The sequence below is a fragment of the Homo sapiens genome, chromosome 7 (genome assembly GCF_000001405.40).
Source record: "Homo sapiens chromosome 7, GRCh38.p14 Primary Assembly".
In the NCBI taxonomy this organism is placed as follows: Eukaryota; Metazoa; Chordata; class Mammalia; order Primates; family Hominidae; genus Homo; species Homo sapiens.
In genome coordinates, this window is record NC_000007.14 from 14,979,324 (window position 1) to 14,997,995 (window position 18,672).

The 18,672-nt window shown below is 36.4% G+C and overlaps 1 pseudogene; it reads right to left on the reverse strand.

Moving 5' to 3' along the window:
• Positions 5,857-6,802, reverse strand: GTF3AP5 (general transcription factor IIIA pseudogene 5; annotated as a pseudogene).

Genomic DNA, 18,672 nt, shown 5'->3' on the forward strand with positions numbered 1-18,672 from the left:
TAATTTTGACTAGTAGCTACTGTATTGAAGAACGCAATTTAGAATACCAATGATAAAAAAAAATGAGGCCAGAAGAAACAGATACAATAGATTTGAACAGAAGGAAAAAAATAAACACTGAGACAAAAAAAGAATATTTATGAAAAGTCAATATCAGTTTAATCTTCCTTTGACATTTGGGTTACATGCCCTTATTAAGGTGGAAATGTCATATTATCAATTTCTGTTTAAATGACATGACTTTTTTTTATTTGAGGACAATTCTAAGCATTTAGAAAATTTCAGATTTGGGCAGGGCATTCCTGTAATTGCTTTATAGTAAAAGAGGATAAGTTACATGTTTTATGAGATATAAAGACTTTTTTGATGGTGGGACACAGCACATTGATACTAGGATAGATAAAGGCAGAACTCTGCTATTTACTGCTCGAACCAAGATGTGAATGCCAGGTAGGGCCAGATAGGAAATTGTATGTAGGAACAGGGTAATGACAATCTATAGCTGTAGGGGCAAGTAGGATGGGTTTAGCTAGTTACATGGGCCCCCTGCAAATTTGCTGGCTAATAAGTTTGCAGGCTCTGGGCATAAGGGGGTGTATATTGGTCCCAGAGTATAAGAGCCTGATAAGTTGGGGTTGGAGTGTGGATGTCATTAACTTCTCAGAAGGGGGAACTGACTGGCCTCTAGCCAGAGACTCAAAACTAGGTTAAGATACCTAGTTGGACCCCTTGTTGTCTTGACATTAGTGACAAACTCAATTATTAGGGGTATTACAGTGGCCCAAAGAGTAATGGAGACTTTTAAACAGTAGGGTATAAGCTCCCCTAAGCAGTGTACAAAAACATTTAGTGTAAGAGTAGAAAGGAAGGAAACAAGTAGAAATATAAGGAGTCCTTGCAGGCCATCCTGTTACCAAGTTTCCCATGTATATAGCAAAAAAGTCTGAAATTTTGGGGTCTCTAACAGTATCTTGTTGGAGTTATTGTGTTTTCTTTTCACTATTATTGTATATTGAAAGCCCCTTAAGCCAGAGTAGGCTCAGAGACTTCCAATAAAGTATGTTTGAATTATGAGTTTTATTATGTTTTTGTGGTAATAATAACAGTGTATTTCTCGAATCAAGGTGGCAGGTACAGCAGTTTTGTTGTTGGAGAATATGAACTGAAAGTTTAATAAGGTGTATGTAAAGGCTAGCAGTATTTGTAACCGAGGGGAGGAGTAGTTGTGGTGGTCATGGTCAGATCAGCAAGGCAGGAAGTTGCAGTGGCAACCTGGAGGATGCAGGAGGGTAGGAGAAGTTTTCTGAGGAGTGAGAGGTCCAGTCCAAGTATGGACCAGTATGAGGCAATAACATACATTAATTTTAGAATGGCACAGAGAGTAGCAACTTCACAAGGTTTCCTTTTAGGAATGGGAGTATAGATAAAGAGCAAGGAACATGCCAGGATTCTGCGCTAAGCAAACAGTAAGCTCAGGAAATGTAGTATAAAACCTAATATCAAAAGAAAAAATTAGTAATAAATGTCCAGGGTTCCATTTGAAAGAACGTCAGGGGAGGTATCCTGGGAGTGTTGTTGACGTGGCGGTCTTGGTGTTGAGATGAAGTTGTCTTTGGCACAGGGGATGAAGCCATCGCCAATTCTGTGGTCTCAGGCTGGGTTGACATTGCCTGAGGTGATGTCATCCCCAACAGTGAACTCCTAGGACAGGTCAACGTGATCTGGTCTATGAAACTAGGGTTCCATAGTAGGTACTTTCATAAGTAGTTACCCACTTGAGTTGTTGTGGGTCTTGTTCACCATATTATGGTAAGACTGAGCCTCTTGAGAAATTTTAAGGCAACCTTGCACCTGGGAATTTGACTTATACATATCTTTTAAGACAAGGTTTTATGAGTACATAGCTAAGAATGGTGATATTGGCATTTGTGATGTTGTTGTAATTGAACCAAAGCCCTGTAACCTGGCTGGCACAATTAAGGCCTTAAGAGTGGCTGAACCAAAAATCCCCCAATAGTCCAAGGTTTTGTCTGGATGGGTGATGGGGAGGGTTTTGCTGCAAATAGGTTTTAAATGATATGGCCAGATTTGCATGCATGTGGTTAATAGGGTGTCACAATTTTGCCTATTAAAATACCTGTGGTTGAGCTTGGAGGATCAGCATTAGCCTGTAGGCAAGCCCTCCAATTTAGCCAATGGGCCTTTTGCCTCAGTTGCTGGTTTGGTTGCAGATGAGCAAACCAGGTGAGTATTTTGTTTGTAGGGCTTCTACTCACCTTGCCAAACTCAATGGAATATGGACCTAAGCATTTGCTGTGGTCAAACAATGGCTAACTTGGAGAGTTTGAGCCTCTGGGCTGCAAACCAATGGAAGTATCCAGACCTATAGTAGTGAAACCAGTGGTTAACAGAATGGTGTGTAGCTGCACCTGACAGGACTTTGTTATCTGATGCTGATTTTCCACCAGGACATATTATTGCCAGTGAGGTGTTGTCTGCTTTTGTCATTGTGAGATATGACATTGATTTCACTATTACCTTTGAAAGTTACTTTTATTTTATTCAGTAAGTGTGGTTTTCTGTCTCTTTTCTTGGTAGTCCACACTGTCTATGGGAATGGCCCTGGAAAACCAATTTTAATTTTTCTACAGAGAATCAGAGGGAGAGCCTGAAGTAATCATCCACTTCGTACAATGTAAATATTAAAGAAAGTCAATTGGATGGTGGAAATTTTGACTCAGATGCTTCCCATAGCACATGGGTAGTGTTCTGGCCTATGGGACAATCAATGGTTAATGGGTTTCAAAGGAGTTTCTGATTAGATATGGTGTATTGCCTTTATGGGGTAGAAGCAAAATAGAAAATCTAAAAAGATAGGAGGAGACATTAATAAGGGGCCACATATATAATGAGTCTTCATAATAATGGAAATGAGACATTTCCCTCCCTTTAAATATAGCAGAGGGTGATAAGAAAGCTTTTTTTATTTTTTAATTTTTTTAATTACACTTTAAGTTCTGGGATACATGTGCTGAACATGCAGGTTTGTTACATATGTATACACGTGCCATGGTGGTTTGCTGCATCCATCAACCCGTCATCTACATTAGGTATTTCTCCTAATGTTATCCATCCCCTAGCCCCCATCCCCCGACAGGCCCCAGTCTGTAGTTTCTCTCCCTATGTCCATGTGTTCTCATTGTTCAACTCCCACTTATAAGTGAGAACATGCAGTGTTTGGTTTTCTGTTCCTGTGTTAGTTTGCTGAGAATGATGGTTTCCAGCTTCATCCATGTCCCTGCAAAGGATATGAACTCATCCTTTTTTATGGCTGCATAGTATTCCATGGTGTATATGTGCCACATTTTCTTTATCCAGTCTATCATTGATGGGCATTTGGGTTGGTTCCAAGTCTTTGCTATTGTGAACAGTGCTGCAATAAACATATGTGTGCATGTGTCTTTACAGTAGAATGATTTAGAATCCTTTGGGTTTATACCCAGTAATGGGATTGCTAGGTCAAATGGCCACTGTCTTCCACAACTGTTGAACTAATTTACACTCCCACCAACAGTGTAAAAGCGTTCCTATTTCTCTGCATCCTCTCCAACATCTGTTGTTTCCTGACTTTTTAATGATTGGCATTGTAGCTGGTGTAAGATGGTATCTCATTGTGGTTTTGATTTGCATTTCTCTAATGACCAGTGATGATGAACTTTTTCTCATATGTTTTTGGCCACATAAATGTCCTTTTGAGAAGTGTCTGTTCATATCCTTTGCCCACTTTTTGATGGGGTTGTTTGTCTTTTTCTTATAAATTTGTTTAAGTTCCTTACAGATTGTGGATATTAGCCCTTTGTCAGATGGAGAGATTATAAAAATTTTCTCCCATTCTATAGGTTGCCTATTCACTCTGATGATAGCTTCTTCTGCTATGCAGAAGTTCTTTAGTTTAATTAGATCCCGGTTCCTATACACCAATAATAGACAAACAGAGAGCCAAATCATGAGTGAACTCCCATTCACAATTGCTGCAAAGAGAATAAAATGCCTAGGAAGACAACTTACAAGGGATGTGAAGGACCTCTTCAAGGAGAGCGACAAAACACTGCTCAAGGAAATAAAAGAGGACACAAACAAATGGAAAAACATTCCATGCTCATGGATAGGAAGAATCAATATCATGAAAATGGCCATACTGCCCAAAGTAATATATAGATTCAATGCTATTTCCATCAAGCTATCATTGACTTTCTTCACAGAATTAGAAAAAACTACTTTAAATCTCATATGGTACCAAAACAGAGCCTGTATAGCCAAGACAATCCTAAGCAAAAAGAACAAAGCTGGAGGCATCGTGCAACCTGACTTCAAACTATACTACAATGCTACCGTAACCAAAACAGCATGGTACTGGTACCAAAACAGATATATAGACCAGTGAAACAGAAAAGAGACCTCAGAAATAACACCACACATTGACAACCATCTGATCTTTGAAAACCTGACAAAAACAAGCAATGGGGAAAGGATCCCCTATGTAATAAATGGTGTTGGGGAAACTGGCTAGCCATATGTAGAAAACTTAAACTGGACCCCTCCCTTACACCTTATATAAAAATTAACTCAAGATGAATTAAAGACTTAGACCTAAGACCTAAAACCGTAAAAACCCTAGAAGAAAACCTAGGCAATACCATTCAGGACATAGGCATGGGCAAAGACTTCATGAGTAAAACACCAAAAGAAGGTTTGTTTAAAGTGGGTGTGAGTTGGCTGAGGGGCCTTGAGTTGAGAGATATTAATGCCTGGCGCAGGACTGAGATATCCATTTAGGGGTTAATTGGTTATTTTGCAACTTAAATACAAGTTCTTTGAGGAGCCCATTAGGCCTCACAGTTAAACCAGTTTTCTTGGACATATTTGGGATATGAAAGTTATATTGAATGCCTTCTTTGAGAGCCTGGTGTGATTCTGAGAAATGAAATGTGTGCTTTGATTACTACCACTAATGTCTGGAACTCCAAGGGGAAAAAGGAGTGTCCTAGAAAAGCTTCATATTACAGCCTTAGTATACAGAGAGATATGTGCGATTTTTATTTATATTTTGGATATCTGTGAAGCAAGGGATTCACAGAGTTCTTTATTCTGAAGGGACAACTCTTAGGCAATGACCAAATAATTTGCGAACATTTGCTTGTGAGGCAATTTGCTGACCAGGGCATCCAGTGCTAAGATGACTACCTGAAGTCCGGCCAATCATGCTGACCCTGGGGTTCTGTCCTTTTGTCAGGAAGTAAAACAACAAAATTTCAGTGAGTTCTATCACTTACAATGGTGACAGTGCCATCCATACAGCCTACAAACTCCCATTGCTGAACACTCAGTTAATCCCAAGGGGCTCTTCATATAGCCAACGGGTTTGAGGGAAAGGTGACTTCATTTAACACCATTGCATCTGTCAAGGAATTGACAGTGGAGACCACCCCTTCCAGGTTAATTATCCAGAGGGACTAGGTTCGGCTCCATATTATATTAAGGAGGCCTCAGTAGCAGTGCTGAGTTTTTGGGATGCTGCTTTTATGATCCAAGGCATAATGGGCAACTGGTTATGGAGAATCACAGGCTCAGGGTCTGCAAGGGCCTCTATTTCCAGGAGGTTCCAGTATGTGGCCAACATTTTTTGCTCTAATGCTATATATAGCACAGGGTCAGGAAGGTCAGTTTCTTGTTTTAAAAGTCCATGGGCTACCTATGGCCATCATAGGTTGTCCAGAGACTTCAGGAGGCATGAAAGGAGGTTGCTAAATCTTCTATAGTGAATCTATCAAGTGTCTGTCATTCTTTTTTTCCTAAATCAATGATTTTAATAACAAAAAATATACTTCTGAGGGAAAATAACTGAGCTCATTGGTCTGCAGTCCTTCAAACAAAGAAATTTGATTTTTAGCTGAGAGTAAGTATTAAAGCTGTCGAGATCAATACAATTCAATGACTCTCCATTTCAATGCAAAGATAAACCTCGTTCTTGTTTCCTCTTACGAGGGATATTTTACTGAGATGAGAGGCCAAATTTCATTTTTCAGAAGATAGCTTTACTTTGATCTTTATTTTCTTCCTGTCAAGCTCATACACAATAGCATGTCTTGTGAGAGTTTGTTTCATAGCCAACCTTTTGCCACAGCCAGCATGTTCACACATAAATGGGTGCTTCTCCTTATGAAAAGAAAGAAGACAGCTCTGGAGATTAAATACAGTTCTTCTGCAGTCTTCTCTTGGATGTTGACATACATCTCTTTCTGAGGCATGAGTTTTCACAGGTTATCTGAGATAATCTTCACATTTGAATGTTTTCTGGCATACATCATGTTATTTCCTTTCTATGGATTTCTCTCTGTCCATGTTTCTGCCACAAAAGAACATCCCTATTGACATATAATTTTCTGATGAACCTGCATCTGTCCTCCCAGCCTGGAGGGTGAAACAAAGTGTTTTCCACATCCTTCAAGGTTAAACTTGAATAGGGGTTTATTTTCATGCTGGCACTGATGGATTTTCAGCTGCTGATGCTTCTTAAAGGTCTTCTTACATCCTTCAAAATTGCATACATATTGCTTTTGCAGATTTTCATGTTTGCATGCAAAATGTTTCTTCCAGTTGGATTTTCTGTGGGATTCTTTTTTTTTTTTTTATCACAGCCACTAGCTGCACAAATAAAAGGCTTTTCTCCAATGTGAATCAGGATGTGGCGATTCAGAAGGTAGCTCCTGATGAAGGCTTTGACACACCCTTTATAGTCACAGGCCTCTGCAGGATCAGCTAAATTTAAGTTGGAAAGAATTTAGAGCCTTTTATTTGAGTGATCCCCAATTAAGGTGAGCTTATTTGGAAACAGCAGTATCAGAGACATTAAGTAGAATTTGTAAATGGGAATATATTGCCTCCAGAATGAAAAAAAGAACTAAAAGATGTTGAAAGTTTATGTTTATAATGAGTATGTCAAATAAAACTCCTTAGGGGAAGATGTTATCAACTTAATATCAAACCTGTGCTGCTGGAGAAAGGTGGGTGCAGTTAAGCTCTTGTCTGCAAAGATTGCATGCAATGGCAACACTGTTGAGGTGCCCTATAAGGCGAACTAGGAAAAGCATACTTTTTTCCTTGGAGATAAAGGCAAAATACAGTCAAGAGGCCATTGAAATAGCCACCAAAGTTAAATATTAGCAAAATCTATAATAGCAAAGTATTTACTGGTTATTAGTTAAATGATGTAATTTTAATAATTTAGGTATTACGCATGAGGATCACAACAGATGAAACCGCAGCATTGTAATAAACCACCCTGAGGCGTCTGTCTTTATTTATTTTTTTTGAGGTTTGCAAATATTAGTTAAATTTTATACAAATAAGTTTGAATTCCTGAAGGTCCTTTTAAAATTTACATTGGAACATCTTAACTGTTTTAGTAAGGGGGCCCACAGGGTCTTGTTTCTCAGGCTTATTTTTCAGTGCCAAAAACTTTATTTAATTTTAATGCATTGCTCATTGTATCAGAACACATATGCTCCAAATGGAATTTAGAAAACCCTATAAGTAAAGTAAAGAATACCTATTTTTTCTCTATTTAAAATTTTTTTAAGTTTTTGTTTGTTTGTTTGTTTGTTTAAGAGATGGCGGTCTCATTATGTTGCCAAGGCTGGCGTGCAGTGGCTATTCACAGGTGCAATCATAGCTCACTACAACCGTGATCCTCCTCAGCCTCCTGATTAATTGGGACTACAGGCATGTACTACTGGACCAGGCTCTATTTTATATTTAGTTACTCTCCCAAGAATATCGGAAGTATTATGTTTAAATTTAGCAAGATCCCTGAGTAAAACTCTAAGTTGAGACCCAGTCTGATTAAGTCTGTAAAGCTTTGTCGTTTGGTGTATTTTAGCAGATCTTAAAGTTAAGTTAGAACCTATCTTTTACAGACAGAAAAGCCCAATCAGTACACATTTCATATTAGTGTTATAAAAAATATTTTAGCAGATTTTTGGATTTCTAATTAGGTTAATTTATGTACAAATTTTTTTGTGTGTATACGTATATATACAGAGTTATATAAGTAAATAAATATGTGTATATATACACATACTATTTATTTTTAAATTTCTTCTCCTATATCAAAGTTTTCTCTTTATTCCATTATTTCTCCTCTGTTTTGGGCTTCTAGCCTCCTGAAGTCATGGTTTTTAGTTTCCATCTGTATCTAATAGTTCATAATTCAAACCTGGGTGGTTACAGGAAAGGAGTTGGGGAAGCGGCCCAGTGGTCTGCCTTGTAGGCAGCCATTCTTCATCCTAAGGCTTCCCAGTCTACCTGTGAAAGAATGGGATTTCACTTGAGAGCTGCAGTCACCTGTCCTTGGGACAGGCAATAAGTTCCTTTAAGTTTTTTCCCTTTGCATGTTGACCTGCAGGGGCACTTACTAAAGCCCAATCACACTGGCTAGGGGCCTTGCATCATTTAAGCAACTGGGTAACTTTTGCAGGTGTTCAGAAGGGGGTTGCTGGGGTGAGATATTTGTTTCCTTGCCACAGACAGCCTCTCTGGGTTAAACATTGAATGGCTGGTATCCAACGGGGCAGCCCATGATATTCCTGAGGATCTGGGGAACTTGAAGTTCCCTAAAAACAGCAACAAAATATGCAGCAAAGAAGGCAGGTCGACGGCTACCCGACCAGAGCAACACTGACTATGAGACAGGGGTGCCATTTCTTTACCATGGGGGACCCCAGCCAACATCTTTTTTCACAAAGGTTGCCTGAAACACATGGACAAATCATCATTCTGCCCTAATTAATGATTATACAATAAAAAGTATCCGAAACAAGTCTCAATCAATTTAGAAGTTTATTTTGCCAAGGTTAAGGGCATGCCTGTGACACAGCATCAGGAAGTCCTGACAACATATGCAGGGCAGTTGTGCTACAGCTTGGTTTTAAACATTTTAGGGAGACAGAAGAAATCAATCAATACATGTAAGATGTACATTAGTTTGGTCTGGAAAGGTGGGACAACTTGAAGTGGTGGGGGCTTCCAGGTCATAGGTAGATTCAAAGATTTTCTGATTGGCAATTGGTTGAAAGAGTTTATCTAAAGATCTGGAGTAGAAGAAAGTGACTGCATTAAGATAAGGGTTTGTTGAGATCAAGGTTCCTATTGCGCAGGTAAAGTCATCAGGTAGCAGGCTTCAGAGAGAATAGATTGAAAATGTTTCCGATCAGACTGAAAGAGTCTGTTCTATCAGTCATAGGGTCTCTGTTTTAATGTCAATGCTGGTCAGTTGTGCCTGAATTTCAAAGGGAGGAGAGTATAATGAGGCATGTCCAGCCCTTACTTCCCATCGTGGCCCTGAACTAGTGTTTCAGGTTAACTTTGGAATGCTGTTGGCCATGGAGATGGTCTGTCAGTCAGTTAGTGGGCTTAGAATTTTATTTCTGGTATATGTAATAAAAAAGGAAACAAAGAGGTAAGGGCATCTGGGGTCAGCCTCTGTTGAACACAGTGACTAGAAAGAGGATAGAATGCCCAACGCCAGAAAGTGCAGTTTTAGCGGCCCATCACTCCCATATCCATGGGGTGGGCCCCCACCAAGGCTTTTATTGAGCCTCCAGAGTTTAATCTGTTAGCACTGTTCATTAGAATATTCTGAGCGATGTGGGGATACATGGCAAACACAGACAGACACAGCAGCAGGCAACAGGGCTAAAGCACAAGCTCCAGTTCTGTCCAAGTCACTCTCATAGAGGTCTGGAACCAATTAGTAAGCCAAGAGCAGCCTCTTGAAAAGCTATCCAAGAGTCAGCAGTCACGGCCATGCTATCTGCTCACAGTGCAAATTGTTTTATAAGATTTAAGGATTATTTTGATGGAAGGATACAACACACTGTCACTCAAATACATGAAAGGCAGAATTTCTTATTACTTTCAGCTATTAATAAGAGAAGGCTGCCAGGCAGGGCCATATAGGGAATTGCACTCAGGGACAGGGTAGCAGCAAAAGAGAGCTGTAGGAGGCAGCTATTTAGGGTATCCATGGCAAGCAAGGTGGGGTTAGCTAGGTTTCTCAGACTGCCTTCTGGTTGGTTATAATGCTGTGCCTAATTGTCTGGGATTTGGCCTGGGGCAATTAGGGCTTGTGCATAATGACCCACAGTATGAGAACCTGATTAAGGAAGTGGTTGGAGTGTGGAAGAAATCAGGCTCCGAGAAAGGGCAATTGACCAGTCTCTAACCAGAACCTCAAAATTGACTAAAGATATTAAAAAATTAAAAATCCCAAACCAAAAACTATATGTCTACATTATACCACAGGTAAAACAGGATTATGAATTAATAGTGGTAATAATTTTTAATTTTTTAAATTCATTTTGAAAAGTCTTATTCTAAAATGATTGAATTAGGAAAGTTACCTACATATTTTAAATTTCCATTCCTGAGACAGGAAGAAAAAAAGTGTTTGTCTTTTCCATTTCTAAATTCCCAAGAAACTACAGACATAAATTACTAGCTAAAACAACAGCATAAGCCCAAACAAAAAGCATCTCAGAAAAAAGAACAGGTATTTATGCTTTCTTTGTTCTGTTGATGACTCTCAAAAGTTGCATATATAGCAAATATGATAAATTAATATACTTATCTATAATTTCTATCTCTTATATTGAATAAATGATAGTGACAGTTACAATAAATTCTATGCCTTTTCACAAGTATATTGCACAAATTTAAGGAAAATAAGTGGGTTTACTGAAGTACAAGTGATATAAAATAAGCTGTCTATATTTAAAGTAACAAATTTTATACTTTTTAACCAAATATATCAGTATACATCTCTACATAGTTACACATAAAAAATAGAGTAGGTAAATAGATGATAGATAGATAAATAGATAGATAAGTTTGCTAGGGTTGCCATAACAAAGTTCCACAACCTGAGTTAAACAACAGAAATTTATTTTCTCATCATTCTAGAGGTTAAAAGTTTAAGGCATTAGCAGGGTTGGTTTCTCCTGAGACATTCTCTTTAGGTTGTAAATAGCCACCTTGTTCTCCCCGTGCTCTTCCCTCTGTATTTACTGAGTCATAATCTCTTCTTCTTATAAGGACACCAGTTATATGGGATTAGGGCCTACTCATTTAATCACATTTCTAAAGACCCCATCTCCAATTACCATCCCATTCTGAAGTGGTGCTAGGGGTTAAGACTTCAACATATGAATTTTGGAGGGATGCAATTCAGCACACACACACACACACACACACACACACACACACACACACACACACGATTGACCCTGTTTGCGGATGACATGATCTTTCACCCAGGAAACCCTATCATCTTAGCCCAAATCTTCTTAAGCTGATAAGCAACTTCAGCAAAGTCTCAGGATACAAAATCAATGTGTAAAAAAATTGCTAGCATTCCTATACACCAACAGTCAAGCTAAGGGCCAAATCACCAACAAACTCACATTCACAATTACCACAAAAAGAATAAAATACCTAGGAATACAGCTAACTAGGGAGGTGAAAGATCTCTACGAGGAGAACTACAAACCACTGCTCAAATAAATGAGAGAGGACACAAACAAATGAAAACATATTACATGCTCAAGGATAAAAAGAATCCATATCGTTAAAATGACCATACTGCCCAAAGTAACTTATAGATTCAATGTTATTTCCATTATATTGACATTTTTCACAGAACTAGAAAAAACTATTTTAAAATTCATATGGAACAAAAAAGAGCCCAAATAGCCAAGGCAATCCTAAGCAAAAAGAGCAAAGCTGGAGGCATCACGTTACCTGACTTCAAACTATACTACAGGTCTACAGTAACCAAAACAGCATGGTACTCATACAAGAACAGACACATAGACCAATGGAACAGAATAGAGAACCTAGAAATATGACCATACACCTATCTGATGTTCAACAAACCTAACGAAAACAAGCAACGGGGAAAGGATTCCCTATTCAATAAATGGTGCTGGGACAACTGGCTAGCCATATGCAGAAGATTGAAACTGGACCCCTTCCTTACTCCACATACAAAAATTAACACAAGAGGGATTCAATACTTAAATGTAACCCATGACTATAAAAACCCTGGAAGAAGACAACACAGGCAATACCATTGAGGACACAGGCTTGGGCAAAGATTTCATGACAAAGAAGCCAAAAGCAATGGCAACAGAAGCAAACATTGACAAATGGGTTCTAATTAAACTAAAGAGTTTCTGCACAGCAAATGAAACTATAAATGGAGTAAATAGATGACCTACAGAATGGAGGAACATTTTTGCAAACTGTACATCTGACAAAGGTCTAATATACAGGATCTAAAAGGAACTTAAACAAATTTATAAGGAAAAATCCCAACCCCATAAAAATGTGGGCAGATGACATGAACAGACACTTTCCAAAAGAAGACATACATGAGGCCAACAACCATATAAAAAAAGCTCAACATCACTGATCATTAGAGAAATGCAAATCAAAACCACAATGAAATACCATCTAACACCAGTCAGAATGGCAACTACAGAAAAGTCAAAAAATAAAAGATGCTGGCAAGGTTGTGGAGGAAAAGGAACACTTATATCCTGTTGGTGGAAGTATGAATTAGTTCAGCCTTTGTGGAAGACAGTATGGTGATTCCTAAGAGAGAAATACCATTCAACCCAGCAATCCCATTACTAGATATATACTCAAAGGAATATAAATCATTATATTATAAAGACACAGGCATTCATATGTTCATTGCAGCACTATTTACAATAGCAAAGACATGGACTTAACCTAAATGTCCATCAATGGTAGACTGGATAAAGAAAATGTGGTACATATACTCCATGGAATACTCTGCAGCCACAAGAAAGAACAAGATCATGTCCTTTGCAGGGGCATGGATGGAGCTGGAGGCCATATCCCTAGCAAACTAATACAAGAACAGAAAACCAAATACCACATGCTCACTTATAAGTGGGAGCTAAATAATGAGAACAAATAGACACATAGAGGGGAACAACACACACTGTGGGCTAGGAGGAGGGACACAATCAAGAAAAACAACTAATGGGTACTAGGCCTAAAACCTGGGTGATGAAACAAACCCCTATGACAAAGTTAACCTATGCAACAAACCTGCACATGTACCTCTGAACTTAAAATTTTTAAAAAAAGTTTTTAATAAATGACTTCAAATTCCACTTTTTAAAACTAGAAAAATAAGAGATGCAAAGTCGAAGTAAATGAAAAAAAAATAAAGATCAGAGCACAAATTGATGAAGTACAAAGCAGAAAGGAATACACGAAATTAATAAACCTAAAATCATGTTCTGTGAGATTGTCAATATCACTGGTAAATCTCTAGCAAGACTGAAAAGAAAAAAATATACAGAAGACACAAATTCCCAATATCAAGAATGAGAAATGCTGTATCAGTAAAATTCTTGAAAAATTAAAAAATAAGAGAATATTATGAATATATATATGCCTATATATTCAATAAGTTAGGTTGCAGGATACATTAGCATACAAATATTTTATTTCATTTCTATATACTAATAATAAACAATTAGAAATTAAAATTTTCAGTAGCATCAAAAATATGAAATTCTAGACACAAATAATGAAGACGAGAAATTTTGGGAAGTGGAAACAAACAAAAAAAAACTATTTTGAAGTTCTTTCCAAGTCTTTCATGTCTCAATCAGCATTGTCTTTTTCCTATACTTAAAGGAAAGGCATTTAGTCTTTTGCTATTAAGCATAATGTTAGCTTTAGGTTTTTCAATGATGCTGTTACTTAGGTTAAGGAGCTTCCCTTATACAGGTATCCCTAGTTTTAAGAAGATTTTTATTAGTAATGGAATTTAAATTGTTTTCAAAAAAATTTTTTATTCCCATACGAGTTTGTGTTTAGTTAATATTGGTGTATTACATTAATTGGTTTCAAATACCAACCTTGCATTCCTGGGATAAACCTATTTGATCATGATGTATGATCTTCTTTATATTGTAAGATTTGATTTGTTTATAATATGTATATCTATATTCATGAAGTGATATTGTTAGATTGTTTTCTTGTGATGATTTTGTCTGGGCTTGGTTTGCATCAAAATTGTACTGCAGGTTCTTTCCAGTGCTATAAGGCAATCAATACATAATAGGCATCCAGAAGGATAAAGAATAAATAAAACTGTCTTTATCCACAGACAATATGATCCTGAAAACTTACTAACCTCACTTATTTGTCTAATAGCTTTTTTGTGGATTCTATAGGATTTTCTGCATAACAATGTGAGAATGAACTCCACATCAGGAAATTTATGCAATCATTCTTGATAAAAATATTCCATAAATGAAGAATAGATAGAAGCATCTTATATATCCTATGGATGACAATTTGATAAAATGTACAAAAGTTATAATTCAAATACCTCTAATCTAGGCATCCCACTGTGGAACATTTACTCTACAGTTATCTCTAAAGCCATGCTAAAACTATAAATGTGACAGTTTAATTATTGGTAATAGCAGTAAGTGTTACCTAAATTATGAACCATCTTTTCAACGAAATGGTAAGTACAGAAAAAACAAACTGCAAACAAAAACCCTAACAACAACAATATCTTCAAGCTATCTCATGTTAGAAGGTAAATGCCACAAAGGCAGGAGTTTTTAAACTACAGTGTTCTGTTGTATATCCAATTATTAGAACAACACCCAAAACACAGTAGGTACTCAATAATAGTTAATACACCTGAAACGCCATAGGTGTATGAATATACCATATACAGTACATGGCATAGCTATAAAAGTACATTGTGCTCTAGTAAAAACTCAACAAATATATAGTACTATTATTTTATGAAGTAATACAAAAAGCTTTATATTATTTTATGAGTACACTGTTAAGTAAAAAGTATAGGACAATGCATCTAAAAACAACCTGTATGTAAAAAAAAGGTAGAAAATAAGAATCCTATTTGTATTTGCTTGATAAGCAAAGTATGTTTGTGTGTGTGTGCGTGTATGTGTGTATATATGCTAAAAATTTGACATTAATAATTAACTATGATGGTAAATGCAAGTCACGGATAGAGGTGGGTGAATTTTATTGGAAGGCACCCACGGTAGGTTGGAAACTTTAAACTGCATGAATGTTTTGAATTGCGTGAGTATATGATCTATGAAGAATTTGCATAATTATACAAAACTTTGTGTAGTCATAATTTTGATAAGTGCTGCAAATAAAAATACAGTATCATGATATACATATAATACAGTATGGGTATACTATATATAGTATAGCTGTAAAAACACATTGTACTCTAGTAAAAATTCAACAAGTATATGGTATTTTTATGAAGGAATAAAAAACTTGATGTTAATTATTTTATGAATTCATGTGACAATATTGGGTAAAGTGTTTTGTATTATGTAATGAGATGTATGGTTTAGGTGTTTTTACCTCAAAGATATCTTGCTAGTACTGTAAATGTTATTATATTGTGTTTTAGTGTATAATTTATCATTCACTTAAGGTGAGGATGGTCTAATACAAAAGTTAACTCCAAGCATTATTCAGCCATAAATTAATAAAGATAACTGACTCAATCTATCAGGGACTATGACTCCTTGACATGAACAACTAACTTTAGAGTAAAACTCCAATAAGTGATACTTCGCTTGCTAGTAAAACTTTCTTTTCCATTTAATACAGACCACAAGTATGAAATGTTTAAAATGTTGCTGCCGATTTTATATTCCAAAGCAAAATGTAATACCAAATAATAGATCTGGGAATAAGAAAAGAGATATTAAATATTTTATTTGCATTTTTATTAGAAAATAATTTAGCATCAAAATATGAGATATTAAATATTTTGTTTGCATTTTTAATAGAAAATAATTTAGCATCAAAATATAAGGAATGTTAAATTAGAGGGAAAACTAAGGTGAAATACATCAAGACTGCAAGTACACTAATAACAAAAATAAAATAATGTGGATTTATTTGTGATTTTTTTTAAGGGAGGCAGTGACTTACCAGTCGCACTTTTGATGACCCATTCTTAGTCCCTCTCCTTCTTAATATATCAATATTAGACCTGGTTGATAATGCCCCCCTTTTTCTTTAAGGTTATCACTCTCTTCGGGGTGCTTTATCAACTTACTGGTTTCCTTTTAGTCTCTCTAAGTGGCTTTCCCTCATTTCTCCAACTTTAATCCTTAAATGTCGAAGGGCTCAGTCCTTGGCCCTAACATCATTTTTTTTTTTCAATGTACACTCATTCCCTTGATGATCTCAGCTAATAAAATCTGTCTTTAAAAAGCCATCCATTCACTGATAACTCTGAAATTTATCTCTACTGTGGTACTCTCCAATTAAGTCCAAGTTCATATATTCAATTATCTATTTTACATTTGTAATTCTAAATAATGTCAGTCTACATTAGTCATACTAACCATATCTAAAACCAAACTCCAGCCCCCACCCACCTCACTTTCACATTTTGCACTCTTGCTTATACAAATAAGTCGAAATGCTATTCTTCCAATTTCCACTAGCTGGAAGATAGGGAATAGTCATCACTGACTCTTTTCTCATACATTTTTCTCATACCCACAACCACCCATCAGCAAATTCTGCCGACTCATGTTCAAAATATACCTACTATGTTTCTAAGTATCCCACCTCTTTTTTGTCCAAGTCACCAATATATTTTACTTGGATTATTAAAATATCCTCCTAACTGGCTTCCCTGCTTTCACTCATCCCTCTGAAGAATATACTCCACAGATAAGCCATAATAATGATCCTTTTATAACTTAATCAGAGCATGTCTTTTCCCCACTCAGCTCTTACAGTGGGCCTTCACCTTAATTAGAGTAGGAGTCAAAGTCCTTACCATGGCCTATAATCCCTAATTGCCCTATCTGATGCTGCTAACCATCTGGCCATACCTGTATCACCCTCTTACTTACTCTGCTTCTGTCTCATTGGCCTTTCTGAACTTCCTTGAATGCACTCCAGTGTAATTCTTTTTCCTCAAAATGTCCTCAATTAAGTCACCTGCTCAGGTCTTTGCTCGGATGTTACCATATCAGAGATCTTCCCTGAGTGTCCTGTATAAAATAAACCCAGTGTTTTCTAGCTTTCTTGTTCTGCTTTATTTTCTTTTCCAGTTTTCATCACCAAATATATATTAATTTGTTTACTTCAAGGCTTTCTCCAGAATATCAGTTTCATGAAGGCAGAGCTCTTGTCTATTTTTTTCCTGTATGTATCCACAATCCTTATAAAATGCTTCTCAAATGATAGGAAGCTTAATAACTACTTGCTGAATGAGTAAGTGATCAGAGAAGTAATAAAAATACCAATTATTCATGAACCTAGCATTGTCAACTAAGACAGTAAGGATGTGAACCTGAAAATAGACATTTTTGCTCTCTTGTTATGCAGCAACAACTAAAATTTAGTATATAATCAATAGAGAAACCTGTTACTAAACTTTTAAATATAATTGCAAAATAATAATTGGTTACGTGGATAAATACATAATCCATCTTCACTAATGGCGAGGAATATAAAAATGAAATTAATGTGGAATGCAATTCCACAAAAATGGAATGCAATTATGCCAAATTACCATCCGCCTGTATTTCTTTCATTTTGTTTTCTTTAATGTTTTTTTGAGGGTGGGATATTTAACTTGTTGACCACAGCATTATATATGTTGAAATTATTTAAAAGTATTATTCACTTATAGAAATTAAACTATTTATCTAAATGGATAAAGAACTGATAGTTCTTCGGATTCTGTGGTCTTTCCTGGATTCCTTTATTGTAGTTGAGACAGTAAAAAACATTTTAAAAATTATACCACTTCTAGAAAGCACTGATAATTCTACAAAGTTCTTCAACATTCACAGTCAGATGAAACCAGGCTTTGCTTTGCATAAATCAAAAAACAAATCATCCAATATAAATTTGTAAAAATTATGACAATCTAATTTGATAAAGCCCATTTGTGTTCTCACATCTGCTGAAGAGGTGGGAAAATGTTCCTATAAAGGCCAACCATAAATATGTCCTCTCATGATACCCACCTTTAAAGGTAGAAACCAGGTAGAAAAAGAACTAGATACAAATCACAGAGATCTCAGGTAGCAAAGATAATTACATATGCCTTTATCAAAAATGACTCAAAGGAGACCCATGTTATTTGAAAACCTCTGTTAACCACCAACCATGATAAAATTATTTTCAAAAATAGGTTATATGCCTACTTAGAAAGATAAGCAACATGGTCCATGCAAATACAGTTTAATGGATCAAATTAAGTATTTCAATTCCTAATAAATGTTGGAAACTGTATGTGAATGTATTGACAATGAATTATCAAGATAATCTCTATATGATTTTAGAGTATTGTGCTTTGAGAGGTAGGGCATCCTGGATTACTCAACCTGTAGGTAAGTGGTGAATCTTAAGTCTCAAGCAGTAGTTAGAATCTCTGAATCTGCTCTCAGAGAATACCTAGGCTTGACTCAACTTTTCAGAGCAACATGGTGAGCTTTAGCAAAGTGCATGACACATTCAGAAGTCTAA